Source organism: Homo sapiens, chromosome 12 (genome assembly GCF_000001405.40).
Source record: "Homo sapiens chromosome 12, GRCh38.p14 Primary Assembly".
Taxonomy (NCBI): domain Eukaryota; kingdom Metazoa; phylum Chordata; class Mammalia; order Primates; family Hominidae; genus Homo; species Homo sapiens.
In genome coordinates, this window is record NC_000012.12 from 62,601,201 (window position 1) to 62,627,675 (window position 26,475).

Below are 26,475 nucleotides of genomic sequence, written 5' to 3' on the forward strand. Positions count from 1 at the left end.
GTTAAAAACATTATGGAAAGGAATGTAAGTGATAAAGTAGTATAATGACTAAATTTAGTTGGAAACTACTGCTGTAACAAATCTGTATACCATAGACCAAACAGGTGTTTAGTGGCCATTTAAAAATCTGTGCCATTATGGCAAAGGACATTTGCTTTGGTACAGAATAATCTGATCCACTGCGCAGTCAATGAGCAGTGAGGGTTGATTCCCATGGCAGTCCAATCTTTGCTTATCAAGGAAGGATGGTGTGAAGTTTCTACAGACTTTCTGGTAAGTGATTGATAGATGAGTTTATGGTGTGATTGAGTTTTTGCTTTGAGTTTATGCTTAGTGATTGATAGGTGAGTTTATGCTTTGTCAGGTAAAGCATTTAACTGCAAATGTATTATGTTTACACAAATATTCTTAATTGGAAATAGTTTCTGAATATGCACCTAAAAATGTTCTTATGAAATATGTCAGGCAGGCTGATTTTTAACTTGAAAACTTCTACTTTAAGAAATTGTTTGGGTCCCATCGCCTATACCATGTAGAATAGAAACAAAAAGCCAGTTATTTAATTTTTAATTTGCAATTAAACTCTTGGCCAAGAGGATCTGTTGTCCAAAATTACATCGTGATAGCTTAAGAAAAAAAAAATCTTACTTTGCCAGAAAGGGAATTATACAAGGATATCTTTATGAGTTGCTGCCAAATTTTGTTCTAGACCACGGCCCTCTGGCCTCCATGAAGGATCAAAGTCTGGGCAAAGACAATTCTAAGTTGTAGGTAAACATGCTTTTCATTTCCCTCCATTCCTTACTTTTGTCATAAGCAGTCTGGATTTTCAGGGGTAAAGGCTGATAGGGTTGCCAGATACAGTCATTAAAAATTGAGAATGTGCAGTTAAATTGGAATATCAGATAAACAATTTTAAAAATATATGTAACACACATATGCCAAAACACTGGTTATCTGAAATTCCAATTTAACTGGGCGTCCTGTATTTTATCTGACAAGCCCTAACTACTTCTTTAAAATAATTTGTTAACTTCCTACAAAAAATCTCTAAATGGGAGGAAAAAAAAAATCCCGTAAGTTGTCTGGGCCAAAAGCAGAAGTGGCTCCATGGCAGTCAGCCTTCTCCCTAACTTGGCTTAAAAAGAAAAAGCCAAAACCAGAAGTCCCAAAAGCTTGCGTTTAAAGCGGGCTGTGCCGCAGCTTTCCCGCCTGTTTTCTGCGGAATGTAGCACGGCAGCCACCCCGCGTGGGTGGGGCTCGTATGGTTGTGTCCTTGCTGGTTGGGAAAGGAGGTGCCGGAAACTTCAAACCACGGCCAGGGTACAACGTGTCCGCTTAGGCGGCGATATGCGCCGCCATCTTCTTTGCGGGCAAAGGCCGAAAAAAGTTTGGGACTCCACTCCCCCCCGCTGAGCCGATGGAGGGCATCGCCCGCTGCCTCAGCACTCTGGTGACGTGGAATCGGGGTCCCCTCTTTCAGGGCTGATTTCTGGTAGCACGCTGACGCCTGCCAAGGCAGGGAAAGGGGACGCCGCCTCTGTCCCGGATGTAAGATGGCGGCGCGGGGGGCGGCCTGGCGGGGCGGTCACGTGGTGAGGAGTAGCGCGCGAGCCTCCTTAAGTGATCTCTAAGGTTCGTCCGGACGCACAGGAGCAGCGGAGCGCGAGACGGGTCTTGTGTCCGCACGCGTCGAGTCGTCGCAGTCGCCACCCGGGCCATCGCCGGGCCCGGTTTCACTGTTAAGGGGTTTTCGTTTGTTCCGTTTTCGCCTCCTGTAGAGCTGAACGGGAATTCCCCGAAGGGTGCTGGGGAACGGGTGGCCTGGGGACTTCCCGGCTATGCCTTGGCTGCTGTTTGGCGGAGCCGGCGGCAGCCTCTGCGGGATGCCCGCCGGCGATTATCGGCGCCGAGAGCGGGCCGGCGGCGGGTTCGACAGCGCGGCGCGGGTGGGGGCCCGGGTACCGGACTCGGCCGCAGCCCAGCCCCCACCGGGGACTCGGAGCAGGGAGGGGCGCGAGCGGCGCAGCTCGGGACGTGGCGGCAGCTCCTAGCGGGCGAAGCGCGGGAGCGCTGCTCGCTGCCTCTCGGGGGCAGTCCAGAACCAGTTGGTGTCTGACTGCGCTTTTGCCGCCCATTTCCTGCTTTCGAGCGGCTGAGGCGACGCGCTCCCCTCGGGCAGTGGAGGGAGCGGCTCTCTCCGCAGGACACCGCCGCTTTTCTCTCTTCAGAGCGGTGGCTGACGTACAGAACGCCGGCTGTATCACCCGGGCGCCGGCGCCGCCTCTCATCCCCGTAGCTCTCGGGGCGCGCCGGGAGTAGCCGAGCCGCTGGGTGCTGGGCGGGGTCTCCGGGCGCGGCGCGGGGGGAAGGCAAAGGAAAAGAAGGGGCGGCGGGCCGACGTCGGCGGCGAGGAAGGACGGAGGAGCGCCGGAGCCGCTTTGCTGCCCTCCGCGTGGTCCCGTGCCTCCCCGACACCATGGCCCTGGCTGAGGTAGTAGTTTGTGCTGTTGGTCGGGTTGTGACATTGCCCGCTGTGGAGATAACTGCGCAAGCTACTGCCTTGCTAGTGCTGGTGATGCTCAGCGCCGCGGAGGACAATGGCTGGGAATCCCCTTTGTTTTCCGGGGCGCTGCCTGGGGACAGCCCGCGAAGCCTCGGCGCCCGGCCGGCGCGGCCACCACGGAAACCGTTAGTTTCACATTTTCCTAGAAGGAATTGAGGGGAGTGGGGTGGACCGCGATGCATTTTAAAGGTTGGGAAAGAGCTAAGCCATTGGATTCCTTTTCTTGAAGGAAGGAGTGGAATTGTGTAAGATAATTGATACAGATAACTTTTTCACCCTAAAAAATTCTAACACTTCTTTCAGCAGTTAAATGCCAAATTTAGTGTGTACCTGTTTTACTTCATTCTTTAGCTGTAGGTTGGAGTGGTGTGAGCGATCTGCAGAACTGGCATTAGAGGGGCAGAAGAAGTAGACCTGATAATTAAAGTTTATGCCTTAACATTTTAGATCTGGTTTCTGATATGCTCTCTTAGTAAATCTGAGTGTGTCTTTAAAAACGTAAACCCAAAGCAATTTAAAGTTTCTCTTTAAACTTTGCAACTCGCGAATGAGAAGATTGAAATTATTTGTAGGTAATTGCACTATTCCGATTTTTTAATGTATGAGGCAAACAAATAAATTCTATGTACAGTGTGCTGTGAATGGTTTTGTTTTTTGTTTTTTCTTTTTAGTTTAACCTTGGGGCTCAGATTCTGCTGGTGTGGTGGGTTGGTTTTTTGGTTTTTATGGCCTTTGATTCTAATGTTATGTGGTACTTACATCTTTGAGGTTTTGTATGGGAGAAGAGGACTAGGAATTGAAAGTGGTTTCTAGATTTGAGTTTAAAATCTACTAACACTCATTTTGATTCCTGAGTGGCCACTACTCCTAATAGGAAAATACCTTTGCATAGAGAAAAAAGGTAGTTTGGATAACTAATGAAAATACTCAGTGCTCTAATACCCTGAAGTCTGCGTGGAAAACAAGATACTTGTATTTTTATTTTATTTTCACTGAGGGAAGTAAGTGGTCAGTTTTAGTACTTTTCGTTGAAAACTGATCTGTATTTGTACAGAATAAGTAGTTTTGAATATAATGTAATCGCAGTTTTCTATGGTTTTCTGATGCTCAGTTGAAAAACAAATAAGGCAGTTCTTTAAACCAACCAAACCCTTCAGCAGGAGTTTGATGCTTTTATCATTCAAAAGTGATCTAATATATGTGCCTTGATTGGGTTTGGTTTAGCCTTGAGAATAACCTTACTTAATCTGATCTCATCAGGATGGAGCCGCCTCATTGTGGGAAGGGCGGTGAAGAACCTTATCTTGAATCTTAAGATGCAGAAAATGCTTGAATGTTGGCTCTTGAAGTTTGCTTTTCTTGATAGCAACGCAGAGTAAATTCAGGGCTTTGTTAAGTGCTTGTTTTCTTAAATAATGAAAACCTCTGCGGTGCTGTGTCAAATCTTGGTTTATGGAGAAACTAATCATAACATGCTAATTTCATTATGATTTTATTTTCCAAAACACTTCATTCAACCAACCGAGGTAATCTTCCAACCCACTACACTCTAACATTTTTATGGAGAATCAACGGTTGTTAATCTGCACCCCAAAGTATAACAAATTCTGCTGGTAATTTAAACTTTAAGCGGATAAGCACACCAGAAATGCTCAATGTCCTATACAGATAAACTATTCATACTTTATATCTTGTGTTTTTAAAGTAAATTTTATCCACAACTACATATTGCCCAAATAGTAGTAACATTTTTGAGTTATTGGATGTAAAGGTACTTTGAGAGGTTAACTGTTTCCTAAGTTACAAGAGAAAATACTGCCACCAGCTGACTTGTTTTAATCCCATAGCTATATTTCTGCTCTAATCTCCAGTTTTAAAAATGATCTGCTAATTACATTTCTCTACACACCAACTGAAAATTACCAACTGAACATTTTCCTTGTTGACAGTTTCCCACAAGATGAATTTGATTTATCAAAAATACAGCTTTCTGAACTTAGTATTATTGACATTTACTTGGTGCAGTTAACTTTTTTGTTAAAGGTCTGTTGTCAAGCATTTAAGTAATTTGTAGTTGTAAAAAGCCACTGGTGGAAAGTAATAAGGCAGTATTTTGAGTGCCCTTCTCAATAAGTACATACTAAACCAAAGGAAAGCTGGGTTATGGTAATAACATTTTAATAAATGTCATCCTCAATTGGAAATGGAGACTGTGTTATGGTATATAGGACACACCATATGGAGAAGATTCTTGGAGAACACAGTTTTGCTTCATACTTTAAAATTCCTGATTGCTAATCTTACATAGAAAAGCTTTGTTTACAAGCTATTTTAAAATAACCTTTTGGCAGGTAGGCAAGACTGACTGGCAAGGGTGCACTCAAGACATTGTGTCTTGTGGAGTGGTCCCCAAAGAATTCCTGACAGAGGCACCTGACAGCACAAATTAGCTCTTCAGTGTATAAGCACAAAGCACCAAAAAGGCTGAGATTTCTTCCTAGCTACATGCTCTCTCCCGCTATTGTTTATTACACTCCACCCGCTCCATGGTGAAGCTGACAAAGGAGATACTATTAATTTCCTTTCCCACTGAATAATCCCCTCTGTAATTTCTACAACAAAAGGTAAATAGGACAATCATCTTCGAAAATGAATTAGGCCAGATTGGTAGTACCCAAAAGGAGAATTAATGACCATTGTCATAAACTCTGAAAAGCTGTTGGCGCTACTGATAATCTAGATAATTAAGCAAAAATTTGAAAATTATTTCTAAGATTGTCTAATGAAGTTCACTAAGTGTTTTTGTTAGGTTATCACTATTGGGCACCATGGGGAAAGCAAAATAATTGTATAGCTAGGTCATTGCCCCAAAGGAAAACAGGAAAGATGTCACATGAAGTGTTTAAGAATCAAAATGTAATTAGCTGAGTGTGGTGGTGCCTGCCTGTAGTCCCCGCTGAGGTGGGAGGATCTCATGAGCCCAGGACTTTGAGGCTGCAGTGAGCCATGATTGCACCACTGCAGCCTGGGCAACAGAGTGAGACTGTCAAAAAAAAAAAAAAATCAATGTGAGCTCAGTGCAGTGATGTGCACCTATAATCCCAGGTACTCTGGAGGCTGAGGCAGGAGAGTCACTGGAGCCCAGTAGTTTGAGACCTGCCTGGACAAAATAGTTGAGATTCTGTCTCAAGAAATTAAATAAATAATCAAAATGTGGGCAGGTGAGAAAAACATTAGTGACCTACTTCACTTTTGAGACCTGGCAGAAAAGTGATTGAATGAGCTAAGGGGGAAGGGAAGTATGGAACACTTCAAATAGTATAGTAATTTAGGGAGTTCTTTTGGTTAGGTTTGTTGCCTGAGATCTTGGAGATGACAATCGCAGTGATAATGATACTCTAGGTGATTTACAGTTTAGTTTCATATTATCTGCTACAAATACGCTGGGAGTGTCATCAGAATTAAAAGAAATATTAGCAGTTCTACATGGAATTTATGTGTTTTCTTATCTCAAGTTGAAAATTTTTTTTTTGGTTAAATTTGTTTTACATTTACCTTTCTTTAAAAGTGCTGTTTTGTTCAGATGTAATGGAATTGTGCCTACACAGGATTTTTGGCCACTAAATTTGTGAATAGGGTCCTTTAAAGGCATACTATTGACACCCGATAGTGTAACTTTAGTCTTTTAGTTATATCAAATATGAACAAACCTAAGACACAATCTTGTGTTTTTAAGGATAAGTTCCTAGTTCTTTCCTCTTATTCAACATCAAACAACACTTACAGAAAATATTATTTTCTTCGAATCAGGTTTACAAATTCCGTTAGTTCCATTATAATATAATTGAGAGTATTTTATCATGGAAGTCAGGAGTTCGCAGAAAGCCAAGCTGTGTGATATGTCACAGAAAATTCAAGTAAATTAAGGACTAAAAACTGTCCACAGACATTGACAGTTTAGATCATATATGTAGTTGTAATGTGTTTTCTGTTATACCTGAAAAATCCCTTAACTGCTCTTAGGTTGAGTAATAAACAATTAACGGGTGTTTTATCTCACTTTGAACATAACTACCAAAAAGGTATTAAGATTCAGAGATTGCTGTTTTAATATTCTGCACATAGTGTATTTTAAAGCCCTTGTTAAACAGAAGTATTATGTAGATACAGGCATGGGCTAGTTTTAGTCATAATAGTAACACTGACTTAATGTTACCGTAATAGATGGCCGAAAGAGTTGACTAAACTCTAAAAACAGATACATAAGCAAATTAAAGTATATTTTTCTGTTTTAAAAACAAATTTACATACTTTTTAAGAGTTCGGACGAAAAACCTAAGAATAAGAATCCTATCTGCCATTCATTTCTTTTTGTAGTGAATGAAGCTTATACAGAATAAATAAGTTCCAGATAAATTCAACAGGTGAATCGGATACCTGCTCTATGTCAGGTGCTGGGAATATACAGAAGATAAAACAAAAACAAACACAAAAAAACCAACTCCACATTATGGAATTCACATTGTAAAAGGAATACATTTCCCTATAATAATAATTACAGACATGTAGTGAGGACAATCCATGGGCCACCTGAGTTGTTTTCAAACCTGAGTTCCACTCATACACCTGTTCTAGAGCCCTTGCTCCAAAACCACTATTGATATTCCAGTTGTATGTTTTAAAAAAGCCATTTCCCATTGATTTTTGTTATAATTGTACCTATTTTTTTTAAAAAAAGATGATAATTTAGTTTCACCAGGGCTGTTTTCTTTCTTTCTTTTTTTTTTTTTGAGACGGAATCTTGCTCTTGTTGCCCAGGCTGGAGTACAATGGCACGATCTCGGCTCACTGCAACCTCCACCTCCCAGGTTCAAGCAATTCTCCTGCCTCAGCCTCCTAAGTAGCTGGGATTACAGGCGCCCGCCACCACGCCCAGCTAATGTTTGTATTTTTAGTAGAGATGAGGTTTCACCGTGTTGGCCAGGCTGGTCTCGAACTGCTGACCTCATGATCCGCCCACCTTGGCCTCCCAAAGTGCTGGTATTACAGGCAAGAGCCACCGCGCCTGGTCAGCCAGGGCTGTTTTCTATCTCCTAAACAGGATAACACTGCAGGAGGTACTTCACCTTTAAGAGCTTACAATGTTGTAGCAAGTGCCCAACTACCTTGTGGAGGAATCTAGACCCCATAGCCAGACATCACATTTTATGATGTACACTCTAAACATGGTAAAAGTTCAAAGAAGCAGGAGTGCACTGTGAGTAGGTAGAGAATGCATCTCTCTGGAGCAGAAACGTCAGATTATTTTAACAGTATAAGCTATGGAGAGCGATTATGAGCCTTGTGGTGCCTGAGAACAGGAAAGAAAGAAGTATCCTACCTTCCTTATATAATTTATACCTCGGGGTAACTAAATGGTTGTGAGGGAGATTTCCTCATTACAGAATAATTCCAGTTTCACAGTGCAGAACGTCTGATAGAATGTTAACATTTACAACAGCTCATGAAATAAAGCTAGACCTCTTCAATGGCTAACTTAATGGTTGAAACCATTAAGTAAAATGCTGATGGAGAAGTATGTGATTAATGAATCAGTAGTAGAGAAGTATTTAATTCATGGATCAGGGCAACCGCACTTCAACTCACTGATCAATTTTAATATTACAAAAACAGATAACTAGATATTCTAGTTCAAATAATTGAACTAGATAGTGGTTTACTAAGACTCTAGACTCTCATCAAGTTTCTAGATCTGATGAGTAGTTTATTAGAAATTTAAGATATAGGGGAACATTGTTAAATCACCACAGGAGCACAAGTAGCAAAAATCCACACTGAAATTCTATAAGACAAATGATCTAAGGAAAAAAAATTTTTAAGGAAAGAAGGGCAGGAAAACCTGTAGAGTAAAATGAATTTAAAGATATTTATCGGTTTAATTGCAATGTATAGACCTTGTTTGGATCCTAATTTGATCAAAGCTAACCACAAACACATTTATGAGACAATTGGAGAAATTTTAAAACTGACTGAATATTAGAAGTTAAAGAATTGTTTTTGAAAATGGTATTGTGGTTATAGTTTTTAAAAATCTTTTGGTATATGCATACTAAATAATTTACTAATGAATGATATGATCGGACTTTGCTTCATACTTTAATCCATGGGGGATGGGAAGCATATATGGGAGTACACAGGAAAGAAGCTTGTCTTAGTGTTGGTATTGATGATGGGTGATGGGTAGATGGGTTTTTTTATTCTGTTCTACTTTTGTGTATATTTAGAATGTTCCATAATAAAAACTCAAAAACACGTAAAACAAGACAAAGAAAGATTCCTGTGGTTTGGAGACAACCAAAGCAAAGTGAGAACACATACAAAACCATGTGAAGGTCAGTAAGGTGCAGCTAAGTGTTCTTAGGGTATCCTCCCAGGCCACTTTGAAATACTACCTTGAAGTCTATCAGAGGATCAGTCCATTTTCCTTATACTCCAGATCAAATATATTGACTAATATAGTGCAAGTTCACACATACCCACAACAAGGATACCATTGTTTAAATATATCTATTATAATTAAAACTAGTAATTAGAATTAATAAGAGATGTGTTGAGAACTTTTACTAAGTACTTTGTATGTATAAAGTACTTGCTTTAATGTTAGCCTATTAAACTTAATAACTTTCCATTTTAAATATTATTTTTCTAGTTCCATAGTCTTTTTCTAGAAGTATGCCTTATTTCACATTCTTAAACAAGTACTCTAAGCAAAATCAGCTCACTAAAAAAATTTGTTTGGCTTTAACTGCTTTCAATAAGCTTAGTTCTGTTTTTCCTCTTTTATTTTGTTATTCCTCCTGTCTAACTGAAACTTTGTACCCTTTAGCCAACATCTCCCCAGTACCTTACCCCCTCTGTCTATAAGCCCCTGGTAACACTATTCTCTCCTTTCTGCTTCTCTGAGTTTGACTTTTTTATATTCCACATATAAATGAGATCATGTAGTATTTGTCTTTCTATGCCTGGCTTATTTAGTGTAATGTCCTCCAAGTTTAAACATGTCGTTGCAAATGATAGAATGTTTGTCCTTTTAAATGGAACTCTAATAATTGTTCTAGCAATTTATTCGATTTTTTGTTTCCAGTTAGATTCCTTTTTTCTTAACCTTCTTTGTGTGTGTGTGTGTGTGTGTGTGTGTGTGTGTGTGTGTTTAGACAGGGTCTCACTGTCATCCAGGCTGGAGTGCAGTGGCGTGGTCACAGCTCACTGCAACCTTCAACTCCCAGGCTCAAGCGATCTTTCCACCTCAGCCTCCTGAGTAGCTAAGACTACAGGCACACGCCACCACCCCTGGCTAATTTTTGTATTTTTTGTAGAGACAGGGTTTTGCCATGTTGCCCAGGCTGGTCTCAAAACTACAGGGCTCAATTGATCGCCCACCTCCGTCTCCCAAAGTGCTGGGATTATAGGTGTGAGCCACCGCGCCCAGCCCCCATCAATATATGTTAACACTTAGCAGTTAGTTCATTGTGCATCTACATATTACCAGTGTTATTAATCTAATTTAAATATTTAACTGAGTGCTGTTACTGCTTTGAATATATTAGCACACTACAAAGGTAAAAAAATATAACCAACCTGTGGATCAAAAGAAACAATGATTTTGCATTTTACTAAGCACAGAAATTATCATGTTTTTGAATGTGTACCACAAATGCCAGGCATACACACACATATATAAATAAGGTTGAAGGAGGCCGGGCGCGGTGGCTCACGCCTGTAATCCCAGCACTTTGAGAGGCCGAGGCAGGTGGATTACTTGAGGTCAGGAATTCGAGAGCAGCCTGGCCAACATGGTGAAACCTGGTCTCTACTAAAAATACAAAAAATTAGCCGGGCATGATGGTGCATGCCTGTAGTCCCAGCTACTGGGGAGGCTGAGGCAGGAGAATCGCTTAAACCCCAGAGGTGGAGGTTGCAGTGAGCTGAGATCGTGCCACTGCACTTCAGCCTGGGTGACAGAGTGAGACTCTATCTAAAATATATATATATATAAGGTTGAAGGAATAAACACATTGAAGCATTATTACAAATATAAGATACTTTTTTTTCTTTTCTTGTTTAAAAATAAATAGAGGCAGGGTCTCACTTTGTTGCCCACGCTGGTCTTGAGCTCCTGGGCTCAAGTGATCCTCCTGCCTCAGCCTCCTAAAGTGCTAGGATTACAGGCGTTAGCCACCACACTTGGCCAAGAGAGTTCTTTCAAATTTACCAATATTATCACTATTAAATAGCTTTTATTTTGAAGTATATATCCTAGTGACTTTTTAACTTCATATATCTTATCCTGTATATACGTAGTGAATCACTATCTGGACTCATTAGTTAGACGTTGAACTTAGCCGTGACCTTATCTACTACATACATGGGCATTTTCTGTTGTTATTAACCCTGGGACTTAAGTTGCCTTAGAAATATTAATGATAATTGCTATATGTATAGATGTTACCACTAATATCTTTAGTATTCTCTGCTGACTATCCATGAACCCTGTGGAGTTTATTATGCTGGAAGTCACAGTGTATTCCTTAAACCCTTCTGATTCTGCCTTATGGCCTCCTCCCTTGTTGAGTATCTTCTTAAAAGGAATCAGAAACCACTCTTCCCACATTCTCCAATAGTCAAGTCACACCATGAACACGGTTCCAAGAAGCGGAAAGGTCCTCTACCACTTCAAGGAAATTAGGAAGAAAAAAAAAGAGAGAAAAACAACGTGTTGTTCCAGAAGGTAGTATGCAAGTTCTCAAATGACCTCTAGGCATTTTGGTTCAAGGTCCATCTTTTTCCTTTATCATGTCACTCTTCTTTTTTCCTATTAAAGAATAATTTTTATATCTTTTTATGTGACTGGTAAAAATAATATTCCCCTTCTCCAAAAGTCATGGTCAGTTAGCTATATAAAGGTAGTTGGTAATGAAACTTCATGTTCTTGTGGTTTTTAAAATACAGAGTCTCACTCTGTTGCCAAGGCTGGAGTGCAGTAGCATGATCATGGCTCACTGCAGCCTCGACTTCCTGGGCTCAAGTGATCCTCCTGCCTCAGAGCCTTGAATAACTGGGACTACAGGTGCACATCACCACATCCAACTAATTTTTAAAATTTTTTGTGGAGACAGAGTCTCACTCTGTTGCCCGGGCTGGTCTTGAACTCCTGAGCTCAAGTGATTCTCCCATCTCAGCCTCCCAAAGTGCTGGGATTACAGATGTGAGCCACCATGCCCAGCCTTGTTTTTTTTGTTTTTTGTTTTTTGTTTTTAATGTAAGAAAAGGTAAGAAAAATATGGTGGTGGTCTTACAGGTACATATGTGGTTTATGCACTGTGAAGCTGTTGAAAGGAGTGGATGATGATGAAATGCATGCAGTTGAGCTAGGCTCAGTGGAAAGTCATGTTGGGGAACAGATGGAGTTTTGAAGTGCTAAGAGAATGATTTAATGAAACTGGGGTCATAAAATTGCTAGAAAGAATGTAGGCTGATTTCTTCCAGAATTTAAAGGCTCTGGGAATAGGAAGCCAGAAGAGTAAGAACAGAAACAGATCAGCTTGAACACCAGAGTTGCGCCTTTGGATGAACTCTGGGGAAAGGGTATGTTTTCAGAGAAAAATAAAAAAGGATCTGGGATCATTTACTCTATCATTTGTTTAACAATTATTAGTGTGTGTGTGTGTGTATGTGTGTGTATATATATATATTTTTTGAGATGGAGTCTAGCTCTATTGCCCAGGCTAGAGTGCAATGGTGCGAACTCGGCTCACTGCAACCTCTCTCTCCCTCCTAGGTTCAAGAGATTCTCCTGCCTCAGCCTCCCAAGTAATTGGAATTACAGGCCCATGCCACCCCACCCGGCCAATTTTTTTTGTATTTTTAGTAGAGATGGGGTTTTGCCATGTTGGCCAGGCTGGTCTCAAACTCCTGACCTCAAGTGATCCGCCAGCCTCGGCCTCCCAAAGTGCTGGGATTACAGGCACGAGCCACCATGCCGGACCTATTAGTGTATTTACTGGATATCAAGATGACTAAGAAATAGCACTTGCCTTGAAGGAGCTTTTCTATTTGAGGAAAAAGACATGTATATAAATAACTGCAAACAGAATGAAACAAGTGTTATGTAGATCTACATACAGTGACATGCCATGGGAATGCTGAACACTGAGCAACAGTTTCAACTAGCGAATTGGCACAGGAAACATGAAAAATAAGCGTATTTTCAATATGACAAGAATGGTCATTTCTGGATATAAGAACAAGAGAAAAGTCATGGGTATATGGAAAGGCATGGACTCTTCAAGGAAGAGCAAGTAGTCTAATGTAGATGCTGTATAGGAATCTGGGGACAAAGGGACAGATAAGTGGTGTAGACAAAGAGGCTGGAAATAGGGTTATGGGCTAGATCATGAGTGACCTGTAAGCATTAGGAGTTTTGATTTATTTTGGAATAAGAAACATTTATGGCTTTTGAGAAGGAAAATTACACAAGGGAAAAGAAAGGATTTTTATTTTTTATTTTTATTTTTGGAGAGATGAGATCTCACTATGTTGCCCAGGCTGGTCTTGAACTCCTGAACTCAAGCAATCCTCCCGGCTCGGCCTCTGAAACTTCTAGGATTATAGGCGTGAGCCACTACGCCCAGCCAGGATTATGTTTTTTTATGGGAGGGATGAGAATATTGGTAGGTGGGTAGAGGATAAATGAGAGAGAATATGTATATGTGAGATTGAATATATAATAGAAAAAATTGATAGGACAAGTCCTGCGTTATTACTACATTTTATGAGGAAAATCTATATATTAGAAGCACTTTAAAGGTATATTTGCTATTCTAGCTGTGGAAACCATCTGAAAACACATTTGAAAGTGCTTTGAAACAGGGGTCAACTTCTCTGCAAAGGGCCAGAGTATGTTTAGCTTTGCGGGCCACAGATGGCCTCTGTTGCATATGCTGCTGGGTCTCCACCTTCCTCCTCCTTTTCTTCCCTTCCTCTTCCTTCTTTTTCTTCTTCTCTTTCTTCTTTCTCTTTAAAAGCATAAAATCATTCTCAGCTCTTGGGCCATACAGAAACAGGCCATAGGCCAGATTTGACTTCTAGGCCATAGTTTGCCGACCCTCCATTTTAGAACTTAGCTTTCCTGAAAGAGCATTTGGGTCTCTCTCTCTCTTTCCCTTTCTCTCTCTCTGTCTCTCTCTCTCTCTCTTTCAGTAAGTGAAGTAAGAAATAGGTCTTTCTTGAGGAACAAAAAGCTGAAATAATTTCATGCATTTGAATATGACCCTTGACCTGTTTTTGTCCATCATCACTCAGATTTGTGGCTGCAACCACCAACCAATTTGGTGCCATAGGATATAGCATAATTTTTCAGCAACAGTTCATAAGCTTTTCTTTTTGTTCTTTTTCCTTCTTCCAGTTGTGGTGGTTTAAAAACATGTCTGCAAAATCTTTGACACTTCTCAGTAAAAAATATAGTCTTGTGTTCCCTTTTCTTGAACCTAAGTGGCCTTTGTGCTGCCTCAACAAATAGAATATGACAGAAAAGACACTATGTGACTTTTGAGACAGGGTCATAAGAGGTGATACAGCTTCCCCATGCCCCTGCATTTTAGAGCTCTGGGTTGCCATGTAAGAATAGCTACCCTGAAGCTACCATGCTGAAGAGACCACAGGGAAATCACATAGAGTTAGAAAGAGGTGTCTGAAGAAGCCCAGCTGCTCCCAATCCCAGCTATTTAAGTCCTCCCAGACCAGGTGCCATATATATGAGTGAGCAAGCCTTCAGATGGTTCCAGCACCAGCCACCATCTAGCTGTAAGCTCATGAGACCCCTTCAACGAAAACCATCTAGATTAGCTTAGTCAAGCCCCAGAACCGTGAAAGACAATAGACTTGCTATGGAGGTCGCCACATGCCTCTTTTTTCTCCCTTTGTGAATGGGATTATTTATAATGGTTACCCCATACCTACTCCACTATGTATATTGGGTATGAGGGAGAGATAATTTGTCTCACTAGCTGACAGATTTTTCAGACCTCAAGGAATGCCACGTGAGCTGTACTCACAGGACCACACACAAGTATCTTTATCCACACGTGACCTGATTTCACTGATAAAGTCCTGGACCTTGAGCCTGAGCCCAATGTCTTAATAAATGAGAATTTCAGAAGGTCTTGGGAGGGGGTGAGTATATTTTGCATGTGGGAAGGATGTAAATAATATGTGGCCTGAGAGCAGATTATGGTGGTTTGAAAATGTGTCCACCAATTCTTTAATACTACTCTCAACAAGAGGTGGAATCTGTGTCTCTTCCTTTGGAACATGAGTGGACCTTTGTGATTAAATGCAGCAGAAGGATGCTGTGTGAACTCTGAGACAGGGTAATAAGGGGTGATACAGCTGCCACCTAGTTCTTTCTCAGAACATGTGCCTTTGGAGCCCTGAGCTGCCATGGAAGAAAACCACCTACCCTGAAGCCACAACACTGGAAAGACCATGTGGAAGAACCACAGAGAGAGAGAAGAGGACCAAATGTGTGAGCCTTCCCAGCCCAGGCTCCAAATATGCAAGTAGTAAGCCTTCATTTCTTTTTGGTTTTAATTTTTTTTTTTAAATAAATCGAAATGGGTTCTCACTATGTTGCCCAGGCTGGTCTTGAACTCCTAAGCTCAAGTAATCCTCCTACCTCAGTCTCCCAAAGTGCTGGAATTGTAGGCATGAGCCACCATGCCCGGCTGCAATTAGTAAGTCTTCAGATGCTTCCATCACCAGCCACCATCCGATGACAACCCCATGAATGACCCTCAGCAAGAACTACCTAGCTGAATCCAGCCAAACTCCAGACCCATGAGAGAGAAATAAAATTGTTGTTTGAGTCACTAAATACGGAGTAATTTATATTATCAACAGATAACTGGAACCACAAGTGTAATTGTTAAAGGTAAAACTTTGAATACATTTATATTTGCCTTCTGCCACATTCCATAATTGACTTTTGTTCATGAACCTATTGGCAAGTTTGCCTTATTGCTTTTCCTTCTTCCCTCTTTTTTTTTTTTGTAACTTAAAAAATCATATAATAAAACAACACAAAAATGTATTTGAATGTAGGTTGAGTGACCGTAAATAAGCACAAAACTTCTCCTTCCTGTGACTCTCTTGTCTGTATATGCCAAGTATCTAACACAAGGCCTGCCTGGCACATAATTTTTTTTTTTAAATGTTAGTCTCTTTTATCATTCTTTTTCCCTGTCAGTGGTATTATCTTTACCCATGGAATCCAGCACCCTCATGCTGACTTATAGTTCCCCAAAGTCCCTAACCTCTACAGTCCTCTCCAACCCCCACCCCAGGCCTCTCTCTATGTTCCAGACATTTTCTGGCTTTTTACCATTATCCAAACTCTGAACTTATCTACTTAGTTTTTATAAAAAAACACAGAGTGACTACATAGCTAATATAAATAATGCCAGTGTTAACACAAAAATTTGACTTGAATGATTACAATAGCAAACTTCAATGTTTACCCCATGGAATAGGCAGAAAATTTCAAGCACTTTTCTAGGCCACCTGAGTCTATTTTGAGTAAGGATCCTTAAGTTGATACTCAAGTAATGACATTGATGCAATGTAGAAGACTATGCTAAAATTTGTCCTGGCTTCTCTCCATGCTATGGGCCATCTGTAAAGCTTTGGAGTCTAGGTCAGATGTATGCGTTGTCTCCTCTTTGCTACCATTTTTGTACAGATTTCTAATCTAAATAAAATTAATGGCAATAACAGTGTGGAAAGGGAAAGCCTAAAAGAAAGAGGGTTTTTGAAGAGTGGGGGACCAGAAAAGAAGAGGACAATTTTACCTGAATTGTTTTACTTTAGAAAATAAATTTGTTCATGTGATTCTGTGAGTCAATTTACACATGTATATAAATACACATTTCTTTATTTAACCATTATTATTATCACTATGTGATCCCTCAATGTGCTGGCTACCACGGGTGTAAGATAAATTACAGAAACTCCTTATTCTGAAGGATTCCAACAACAATTTGGCATTGTGCACTGTATGGGGCCTGGGAAAATCCTCTGATTTGCCATACCTTAGGAAAGGTCTTTGCATGATACTAGGCCATGTCTCTTACTACAATGATGAGCATTCTTAGATTTAAAAATAATACCAAGCTGTCAGGAAAACTGAATTCCATCAATAATAACATCTTTTCATAAACTGAAAGCTTGCAAAGCCTTAATTAAAAAAATGAATTTATTACTAAGTGAATTTAATTCACAAAAGGAATTTTCCCCAATATTTAGGCTGTTGTTGGTTTTGGCTTTGTTTTTAATTAACATTTTTAGTTGTATGGTTTGATCAAATACTGAATTTGAGTTCAAAGATACATTTCCTCTGAGGATGCAGTCTAAAGAGGCCAAGTAAATAATAGAAAATCATAGTTTCCAAGTTTCGCAGAACAAAGCTCAGTAGTTCCATGACTTTTTCAGTGTTCTACAGAATTGAGCTACTCCCTCTTACACAAAAAAGTGCTCTAATTTTCATTTTTTTCTTCTTTGCTCAGTTTCTTCATTTATTTGCCTACTTTCTTAATTTCTTCCTAAGTAAATATATAGCTATCTTTGAGGAGAAGTGATGTAACATCAGAAACAAAGAGTAGACTCACAATTAGAGCCCACTGACTCATGGGACTTTAGATAAACCACTAATCAGGAAACTGGGGGTGTTAATGCTGTTTAGTTAGTTGATTGAGGAGGTGAGGACAAAACCTGGTGACTTCAGGGCCTCAGCAACAGAACTCCTACCTATTTCCATTGCTACCACTTACCTTATGGGCATTAGATAATTCTGCAGTGAGTTATTCTGTGCATGAGGGGGCAAAGGCTTTAGAGTCAGGTAGCTGGGGAGTTATTTTCTCTCTCTGCTATTTAATAGCTGTATGACCTCAGGTGAATTTCTTAATCTCCGTTTCCTTGTTTGTAATACCCATCATGAGAAGTTGTTCTGAGGATCACAGATACTATACCTAAAGTACCCAACAAAGTCCTGACACAAGGAAGGTGTTCCATAAACGGTAGCTATTTGAAGTAGTCTAAAAGGTCCCTTTCAAATGTTTAATACACCCATATAATCCCAATCTTAATCTCTCACTCTCTTGTTGGCCCATCATTAGAGCACCAGATCCCCTTGACTGCTTTCCAGGGTAAGGATGCAAGACCACTGAGAACTGTGCCGCGCTGGTAAGAAGAGGTGCTGATGGCATGCTGTTGCCTCTGCCAGACAGACTCTGTCTTTGCTGAAGTGTTTAGTATTGCTATTGTGGCAAATGCCATTTTAGTCAAAGGCAATAAATCTTCCTTTGTTTAAATGACAGATGGCTAGGATTGTTACTTCTGTTTCTAGCAAACCCAGAAAGGGAAAAAATAAATTACTGACATTCAGAGTTCTTGTTTTTTAAGAATATTAGGGGGAAAATGAAAATAGTATAGTTTCAGCAAAGTTATATAGTTTTTGCAGTCAACAGAATAATGGGCCCCCTAATGATGTTCACGTCCTAACCCCTAGAATCTATGAATATGTTAGGTTACAGGGCAAAGGGGAATTAAGAGTGCAGGTGGAATTAAGATTAATTAGCTGACCTTAAGATAGGGAATGTAGCATAATTTATCCAGGTGAGCCCAATATAATCACAATGGAAGACAGAGACAGAAGAATCAGAGTCAGAGAAGACGTGGCTACAGAGGAGAGAGTGATGAGATGTGAGGATTCTGCCTGCCATTGCTGGCTTTCAAGATGAAGGAAGGGGGCCATGAACCAAGGGGATGCCTCTAGAAGCTGGAAAAGGTAAGGAAACAGATTCTCACCTAGACTTCCAGAAAGCTCTGCTGTTGCCTTGATTTTAGCCTAGTGAGACCCATTTCAGACTTCCGACCTCCAGTACGTGAAGATAATACATTTGTGTTGTTTTAACCTATTAAGTTCTAAAATGGTGAACCCAATTTCATTTCTTCTCTCCCTTTACAAGGTAGGTGCTATTAACAGTGAAATGACAATGCAAAAGCAAAGCAGAGGAAAGCACCAGCAAAGGACATGCCTCGCTGACTGCAGATTACAGTGTCCTCTACTCAATTCCTATCTTAATATGTATCACATGCCCTGCCTGAGATAATGAGGACTCTCCCATTCCCTCAGTCTTCAGGTTGCCTCTACTTCTCTTCCATTTTCTTTTTCCTTGATATGATCCTCTTCTTTCTCATTCTTCTCTTCTTTCATTTCCTGAGTTGTTTTCTCTCCACTTCTTCCCCCTCTACTCTGATAGGAAATATTATAGCAGTAGCCCAAGCTAGAAGAAAAAGGACACACCTACCAGCTCCCTCCCTCCCTCACAACACCTACACGGCTGCTGGGGAAGCCTTGAATGAAAGCTAGAAAAGAACAAATAGGAAAAGAGGCATTTGAAAACAGAACAGAAATAGTCACAGACGGGTGACAGGCAGGAGATGCCACCTCATTGACAGCTGCCACCATTTTCCATAGAGAAGTTATTCCATTGTAGTATACACCAGGGCTGGGTTTAAATATTTTTCCTATGTACTTGGTAGTATAGTGGAAGCTCCTCCATTTCTCTAAATAGTTAACTGCATACTTAGAGCTCTTGGTAGCGTTTAGAACACGGAGTTAATTATTCTGAGTGTACCTAGCCCCATCACTGTCTGTAATCTGTACAAAATTTGATAAGCCCTTTTAAGGTAGTTAGATATTTATTGAGACTCTGCTGTATATTTGGCAGTGCCCCAGATATAGGTAGTGGTGGTGACAGCAAGCAATAGGACCAGTGGAGCCTGCTTTTTAATAGAGAGTGATCTCTCTGGTATTGTTGTAAGTACAGCATATAAGCAACTTGAGGTGTTGTCTTAAAGATGTGAGCTCACCTAATTTACACAAGAGCATCAAAGCCAGAATTCCTCCCCTTGCTGATGTTAGCCTGTAACTCTGTGCCTCTCAAGTGTATAACTTCTTCTGTGGGAATCATGCTTCTGAAGCATGAGGAAAGAACACACCCGTGTTTCCACTTTCTCTGCTGCTTTGCATGTGATCCCTCCAGGTATGCAAAATAATGCCTCAATATCATTTTGACCTGTGTTGTCATTTTACATATTTTATCAGAAGACTTCATATCGGATGGAAGCAAATCTTTAGAAGGGTTGTTATAACAACTTGAACAGCCCATCATGCTCTAGGCATGCTCCCTATCACGGCTATGTTTTCATTCATTAGAGATGGAGGAGGAGGCGGCTTAAAATGTGTAATTCTAATCACCTATTCCTACAGCTCTCTAACTGGTCTCCGTGGCTTCTCTTGCCTTCCTCCAGTCTTGCCCGTGAACCTTGATTAGAGGACAACACAACACTAACAGCCACTCCTCCCTCTCCCTCCTGACTCCTTATTTGAGTTAGAGGCTCTCGTAACACCTGCGTCTTCCCCTTTGTCAGCAGTCATCACAACGAATTGTGATTGCCTATTTACTCATCTGCATCTCCCACTGAATTCTGATCCATGGTGGCTGGCCCATGCCTGTCTTGTGTACATTTGCATGTAAACCACTTAACCCAAGTGCCAGGAAGCAAACAGTACACGCAGGTGTGTGGAGTGATTGAAAGCTAATTTGCTACCTAAGAATGTACAGTGATTCCTCAGTGTTTATTAGATCAGGCCCAGACTCTTCATTTCAGTTTTCAACTCCTCTGATTTTTCTTTTATACAAGCTTTCAGATCTCCTCTTGGTTCTCATCTAGCTCTTGCATCTTTATGCCGTGGGTTGATTCCTCTGCCTGCCTATCTGTAGTAGCTTGTCTCCTAGGATGGCTGCCATCAATTTCTTCTCTTCTGTATACACATGCCACTCCCGCATTGAGAGATGGAGTCTTCTTTCCCCCTGGAATCTGGTCTGGCCTGTGACTAATTTCAATAATAGAATCTTGCATTTCTATTGAAACTACCAAAAAAAAAAAATTGTGTCAGCTACTACAGCTACTAAGTTTTGGGATGGTTTGTTATATGGCAATAGATATCCTCAATACCATTCTTCAAAGTCCCAAACCTACATTTTCTGTGAAGCCTTACCTTGCTAGTCTAGTTAACACTGATCTCCTCCTTCTCTGAAGTTCTGTGGGAATAGAACTTTGTTGATGCCACACATTTTGTTATCCAACTGTATGTATTATTACTTTTCCTTTCCTGAATGCCAGTATGAACTCCATGACCAAATTATATGGTCTTTGAAGATACCAAATAGTGGAAATAGGTCTTTTGTAATCCCTTCAACAAGTCCTAGTACTGAATAAAAATGTAATGGCTGTTGAATTGGATTAAAAGTAAAAATATTCTTGGCCATTTTAGCTCTCTGCCAATTATTTTGACTTTTCTTCACAGTATCTTTGAGCGCATTCTTTCATATCATGATTATAAAAAGCATGTGTGGCAGCAGGCAGCCCTTAGGATCCTTCCCCCTGCAGACAGTCTGTGACAGTGCAGTGGTTCTCAAAACGTGGACCAGGAGCAGCAGCACCAGCACCTGGGAACCTGTTAGAAATGCAAATGCTTGGGCCTACCCCAAATCTACTGAAAGAGAAGTCCTGGGGGTGGAGCCCAGCATTCTGTTTCACCAAGCTTTCCAGATAATTCTGATGCATATTAAAGGATGAGAATCATTCTAGTGGTGGAAAGAGTCCTGGTTTAAGGTTAGAAGGTCTAGGAGTTTTTGGTCCTAACACATTTTGGTCCTGATGCTTATGTATCAATGAGAAAGTTACTTAACTTCCCTGAGCCTCTCCTTCCTCATCTGTGTTACGATAATCCTAACCCTGAGATGGGAGAGTGTCTTAGTTCATTTTTTTTGCTATGAAGGAATACCTCAGACTGGGTAACTTATAAAGAAAAGAGGTTTGTTTTGACTCATGGTTCTGCAAACTATACAAGAAGGATACTGCTGGCATCTGCTTCTGCAAAGGCATCAAGAAGTCTACGATCACAGCGTAAGGCAAAGAGGGAGCAGGTATGTTACACAGCAGGAGAGGGAGCAAAAAAAAAATGGACAGGTTCTTTTTTTTTCTTTCTTTTTTTTTTTTTTCTTTTTGCCAGACGGAGTCTCGCTCTGTTGCCCAGGTTGGAGTGCAGTGGTGCAATCTTGGCTCACTGCAAGCTCCACCTCCCGGGTTCACTCCATTCTCCTGCCTCAGCCTCCCAAGTAGCTGGGACTACAGGTGCCCGCCACCACGGCCGGCTAGTTTTTTGTATTTTTAGTAGAGACAGGGTTTCACCATGTTAGCCAGGATGGTCTTGATCTCCTGACCTCGTGATCTGCCCGCCTCGGCCTCCCAAAGTGCTGGGATTACAGGCGTGAGCCACTGCGGCCGGCCAAAAACAGACAGGTTCTTAAACAACCAGCTCTCACATGAACTAATACAGTGAGAACTCACTTATTACTGTGGGGAAGGCACCAAGGCATTCATGAGGGATCCACCCTCATGACCAAAACACTTCCCCCCACCTCCAACATGGGGGGTCATATTTCAACATGAGATTTGGAGGTGACAAACATCCAAACTATGTCAGAGAGTCAAGTGAAATCTCTTTTTTTTTTTTTTTTTTTTTTTTGAGATGGAGTCTCACTCTGTCACCCAGGCTGGAGTGCAGTGGCGGGATCGCGGCTTATTGCAAGCTCCGCCTCCCGGGTTCACGCCATTCTCCTGCCTCAGCCACCTGAGTAGCTGGGACTACAGGCGCCCGTCACCATGCCCGGCTAATTTTTTTGTATTTTTAGTAGAGACGGGGTTTCTCCGTGTTAACCAGGATGGTCTCAATCTCCTGACCTCGTGATCCGCCCGCCTCAGCCACCCAAAGTGCTGGGATTGTACAGGCGTGAGCCACCGCGCCCGGCCATGAAATCATATTTATGACTCATCCTTAGCTGTAAAAGGACCAGGAGTGGTAGCTCAAGCCCATAATCCCAGCACTTTAGGAGGCTGATGTGGGAGGATTGCTTGAGCCCAGGAGTTAGAGACCAGCTTGGGCAACGTAGGGAGAACCTATCTCTACAAAAAATTAGCCAGGCGTGATGGCACATGTCTGTAGACCAAGTTCTTGGGAGGCTGAGGTGGGAGGATTGCTTGAGCCTGGGAGTTTGAGGCTACAGAGAGCCGTAATCACACCACTGTACTCCAGCCTGGGTGACAGAGTAGCCTGTTTCAAAACAAACAGAACAAACAAAAACCCTGTAAAAGTATAGTGATGAAAGTCACAATTAGGCTGGACTGAATGGCTCACACCTGCAATCCCAGCACTTTGGGAGGCCGAGGTGAGGGAAGACTGATTGAGCGCAGGAGTTTGAGACTAGCCTGGGCAACATGGTGAAACCCCATCTCTACAAAACATTAGGTGTGGTGGTGCACATCTCTAGTCCCAGGTACCCAGGAGGCTGAGGTGAGAAGATTGCCTGAGCCCAGGAGGTCGAGACTGCAGTGAGCTGTGACTGTGCCACTGCATTTCAGCTTGGGTGACAGAGTAAGACCCTGTCTCAGAAAAAAAAAAGTCACAAGTAATGACAGGTGTTTCTTCATTCACAAGGTAGAATGGGATTGAACACAGAGAAGAATGCTTTCATTTTAAATTATTTTGCTCCCTTTTCCTTCCTGTTGTGGACTTGGTATAATTCTATCTGGCTTGGCAGGCCTTTGATTTCACAAGTTCATGAGCAGTGGCTTGTGTAATATTCCCAAGTCAGGTGCCAGATTATCTGTATAGACTTATCTCCCTTAGCAATGGCTGGCTTCAATGTAATTTTTTTTTTTTTTTTTTTTTGAGACAGAGTCTCGCTCTGTCGCCCAGGCTGGAGTGCAGTGGCGTGATCTCGGTTCACTGCAAGCTCTGCCTCCCGGGTTCATGTCATTCTCCTGCCTCAGCCTCCCCAGCAGCTGGGACTACAGGCGCACGCCGCCACGCCCAGCTAATTTTTTGTATTTTTAGTAGAGATGGGGTTTCACCGTGTTAGCCAGGGTGGTCTGGATCTCCTGACCTTGTGATCCACCTGCCTCGGCCTCCCAAAGTGCTGGGATTACAGGCATGAGCCACCGCTCCCGGCCTTCAATGTAATTTTTAAAACCCAAGTAATTTCACAGTGATGCAACTGAAAAACTTCCTGTCAACTATTAAAACTAATATGTTTGATAGCTTCACTAATAAAACTTAACCAGGAGAATGTAAGCCAACAAACCAAGTTTAAATTGAGTTTAAGTATTTATTCAAGATCAAACCATATTCATTTGATATATCAACTAGTGAACATGAATTTACTACATGGGAAGTATTGTCCCCAAATTATAAATCTGGTGGAATAAAGGGGAACTAAAGGTGAAGCAAACTGTAAATGTATTAAGTGTGTATCAAGTTGGACAGAGCAGTGAACATGCTCTGAGATCCCAGGCAGTTCTGCATGGCTGAGCAGAGGCTGACTACATGGAAAAAAAGTCTTTGGAGGATTCAGGGTAATGTTTCTGAGTTGTGGTTTACCAAGCCTCAAGACAGCAAGTCCACAGGGAAAGAGTGAGCCTGGCACCCAAACAGAAGCAAGCCTCGCTCTCTAGGGTGAGGTAACCTAGGAGTTCCGGTTAGAGATATGAAGCTATTGCTCAATTTGCAATGTTCTCTCACATCACAGATTGTGAGCATGGAATTAGGGTCAGATATCTGTCCTGGGCCAGGAGCAGGAAGATACACTCTTGGGCTCAAGTGATCCTTCCACCTCAGCTTCCCATGTAGCTAGGACTACAGGCACACACCACCATGCCTGGCGAGACCTTACTGTTTCATCTCCTAACTCCGACTCTGATTAGTGGTGTGAAAGTGAGCAAACCATTTCCACTTTCTAAGCCTGATTATACTCATTTTGTCAAGGCGAGGGTTGAAGTTTTTCCACCCCTGAGATAAAAAGGTTGAGTCTGGAAGCAGGATAAAAAGGATTACAGTTTAAGGAAGGAGCCAGCTGCCTTCAATAATGAGAGGCAGTGGGGCCTGTGAGAGGCTGTCCCTTTACATGAAGTATCCACAGGAGTGGACATTGCTGTAGAGTATCTAAAACATTACCCTGTAGGTAGTTTGCAAACCAGTGATTCCCTCACATCACAGTAAATTGATGAGTGAATTTTCTGAGTAACTAACTGCACAGTTGACACTAGAAAAGGACTATAGCTTAAAAAAAAAAGCAAGAAAGGTATCTTAGTTACCTATCACTTAGTTATCTTGCAGTTTTCTGAGGGACAGGAATACAAGCAGGCTGGTGCTGGGTCTCTTTCAATGGGGTAGTCATCTCATTCACATGGTAGCTGGCAAGATTCAGTTTATCATGGGCAGCTGGTCAATTCCTTGTCACCTGGGCCTCTTTGTTGAGCATCTCACAACATGGCAGCTGGTTTTTAATCAGATCAAGCAAGCAGGAGGACGAAAGAAAATGTGAGCAAGAGAGAGTGCTGGCAAGATGGAAGTGAAGGTCTGTTGTGTTTTAATCTTAGCAGTAATTGCCCATCACTATTTGAATATTCTGTTTCTTAGAAGCAAGTCACAGCCGGGCACGGTGGCTCACACCTGTAATCCCAGCACTTTGGGAGGCCAAGGCAGGCAGATGGCCTGAGGTCGGGAGTTTGAGACCAGCTTGGAGAAACCCCATCTCTACTAAAAATACAAAATTAGCTAGGTGTGGCGGCACGTGCCTCTAATCCCAGCTACTTGGGAGGCTGAGGCAGGAGAATCGCTTGAACCGGGAGGTGGAGGTTGTGGTGAGCCGAGATTGCGCCACTGCATTCCAGCCTGGGCAAAAAGAGTGAAACTGCGTCTCAAAAAAAAAAAAAAAAAGGAAGTCACTAGGTCCAGTCCATAGGCAAAAGAAAGGGATTTACACAAAGAAGTGAATACAAGAAGGCAGGATCACAGGGAGCCGCATCGGAAGCTGCCTCCCACAAAAGGCTTTCTATCGTGGGGTTCGTTTTCATCTAGACAATCCCCCAAATCCCCCAAATTCTGAGGTCATGAAGTAAGTTAGTTACATGGCAAGGAAATGCTGAACCTCCTTTTTTATGTGGGCTATGCTTGAGGGTTCTATTTTCTCAAATATGCATTCTTTCATTAAACAATAGTTATTAAACATGCATCTACTTGTACCAGATAATGTGCTAGGAGCAGGGGCTACTAAGATGATTGTAGGTTTGTTTCTGCCCTCGTGGGTTGGAGGAAGGTGGCGGAGGTAATATTTACATACATAGAAATGAGACATACCCCACACTATCTCTGCGAAACCTGCCTACTGAATAAGATAGTCTTAATCTTTCAGTTTTACCTTTTCACATGTGGATCAAATGTCATTATCAAGAACTTAACTTTAGGAACCCTTTAATTAGAATGTGTGATATGGTTTGGCTGTGTCCCCACCCAAAATCTCATCTTGAATTGTAATCCCCATAATCCCTGTGTGTCAAGGGAGCGAACAGGTGGAGGCAATTGAATCATGGGAGCAGTTTCCTCCATGCCGTTCTTGTGACAGTGGATGAGTTCTCACAAGAGCTGATGGTTTTATGTGTTTGGTAATTCCTCCTGCATTCATTCTCCTTCCTGCTGCCTTGTGAAGAAGGTGCATTGCTTCCCCTTTGCTTTCTGCCATGGTTAAGTTTCCTGAGGCCTCCCCAGCCATGCTGAACTGTGAGTCAATTAAACCTCTTTCCTTTATAAATTACCCAGTCTTGGGCAGTTCTATATAGCAGTATAAAAACGGACTAATACAATGTGTTTTCATTAAAGATCACTGGTA

The 26,475-nt window shown here is 41.6% G+C and overlaps 2 long non-coding RNA genes and 1 other non-coding gene across 4 annotated transcripts, besides 9 other annotated features; 2 read left to right on the top strand and 1 right to left on the bottom strand.

Moving 5' to 3' along the window:
* Positions 1-550: 550 nt before the first annotated feature.
* Positions 551-2,234, bottom strand: LINC01465 (long intergenic non-protein coding RNA 1465). The gene has a single exon (NR_121682.1). It is a non-coding gene; the product is annotated as a long intergenic non-protein coding RNA 1465 (long non-coding RNA).
* Positions 837-1,360: an enhancer, noted in NCBI's record as "NANOG-H3K27ac-H3K4me1 hESC enhancer chr12:62995817-62996340 (GRCh37/hg19 assembly coordinates)". NCBI's record gives its function as "activates a minimal SCP1, AML or CMV promoter by ChIP-STARR-seq in primed H9 embryonic stem cells {active_cell/tissue: H9 hESC(primed)}" and the evidence as "EXISTENCE:reporter gene assay evidence [ECO:0000049][PMID:30033119]".
* Positions 1,361-1,882: an enhancer, noted in NCBI's record as "NANOG-H3K27ac-H3K4me1 hESC enhancer chr12:62996341-62996862 (GRCh37/hg19 assembly coordinates)". NCBI's record gives its function as "activates a minimal SCP1, AML or CMV promoter by ChIP-STARR-seq in primed H9 embryonic stem cells {active_cell/tissue: H9 hESC(primed)}" and the evidence as "EXISTENCE:reporter gene assay evidence [ECO:0000049][PMID:30033119]".
* Positions 1,397-1,506: an enhancer, noted in NCBI's record as "active region_6582". NCBI's record gives its function as "activates an Ori minimal core promoter by ATAC-STARR-seq in GM12878 lymphoblastoid cells {active_cell/tissue: GM12878}" and the evidence as "EXISTENCE:reporter gene assay evidence [ECO:0000049][PMID:35858748]".
* On the top strand, positions 1,543-21,014 carry MIRLET7IHG (MIRLET7I host gene). 2 transcript variants are annotated; one of them, NR_186001.1, is made up of 2 exons: positions 1,543-1,635; positions 12,405-21,014. It is a non-coding gene; the product is annotated as an MIRLET7I host gene (long non-coding RNA). The 2 variants fall into 2 exon arrangements; NR_186002.1 differs by lacking the exon at positions 1,543-1,635 and adding an exon at positions 10,796-11,354.
* Positions 1,587-1,776: an enhancer, noted in NCBI's record as "active region_6583". NCBI's record gives its function as "activates an Ori minimal core promoter by ATAC-STARR-seq in GM12878 lymphoblastoid cells {active_cell/tissue: GM12878}" and the evidence as "EXISTENCE:reporter gene assay evidence [ECO:0000049][PMID:35858748]".
* Positions 1,857-2,166: a silencer, noted in NCBI's record as "silent region_4608". NCBI's record gives its function as "represses an Ori minimal core promoter by ATAC-STARR-seq in GM12878 lymphoblastoid cells {active_cell/tissue: GM12878}" and the evidence as "EXISTENCE:reporter gene assay evidence [ECO:0000049][PMID:35858748]".
* Positions 1,857-2,926: a biological region, named in NCBI's record as "H3K27ac hESC enhancers GRCh37_chr12:62996863-62997384 and GRCh37_chr12:62997385-62997906".
* Positions 1,883-2,404: an enhancer, noted in NCBI's record as "H3K27ac hESC enhancer chr12:62996863-62997384 (GRCh37/hg19 assembly coordinates)". NCBI's record gives its function as "activates a minimal SCP1, AML or CMV promoter by ChIP-STARR-seq in primed H9 embryonic stem cells {active_cell/tissue: H9 hESC(primed)}" and the evidence as "EXISTENCE:reporter gene assay evidence [ECO:0000049][PMID:30033119]".
* Positions 2,257-2,556: a silencer, noted in NCBI's record as "silent region_4609". NCBI's record gives its function as "represses an Ori minimal core promoter by ATAC-STARR-seq in GM12878 lymphoblastoid cells {active_cell/tissue: GM12878}" and the evidence as "EXISTENCE:reporter gene assay evidence [ECO:0000049][PMID:35858748]".
* Positions 2,405-2,926: an enhancer, noted in NCBI's record as "H3K27ac hESC enhancer chr12:62997385-62997906 (GRCh37/hg19 assembly coordinates)". NCBI's record gives its function as "activates a minimal SCP1, AML or CMV promoter by ChIP-STARR-seq in primed H9 embryonic stem cells {active_cell/tissue: H9 hESC(primed)}" and the evidence as "EXISTENCE:reporter gene assay evidence [ECO:0000049][PMID:30033119]".
* Positions 2,486-2,569, top strand: MIRLET7I (microRNA let-7i). Its single transcript, NR_029661.1, has one exon. It is a non-coding gene; the product is annotated as a microRNA let-7i (primary transcript).
* Positions 21,015-26,475: the final 5,461 nt, after the last annotated feature.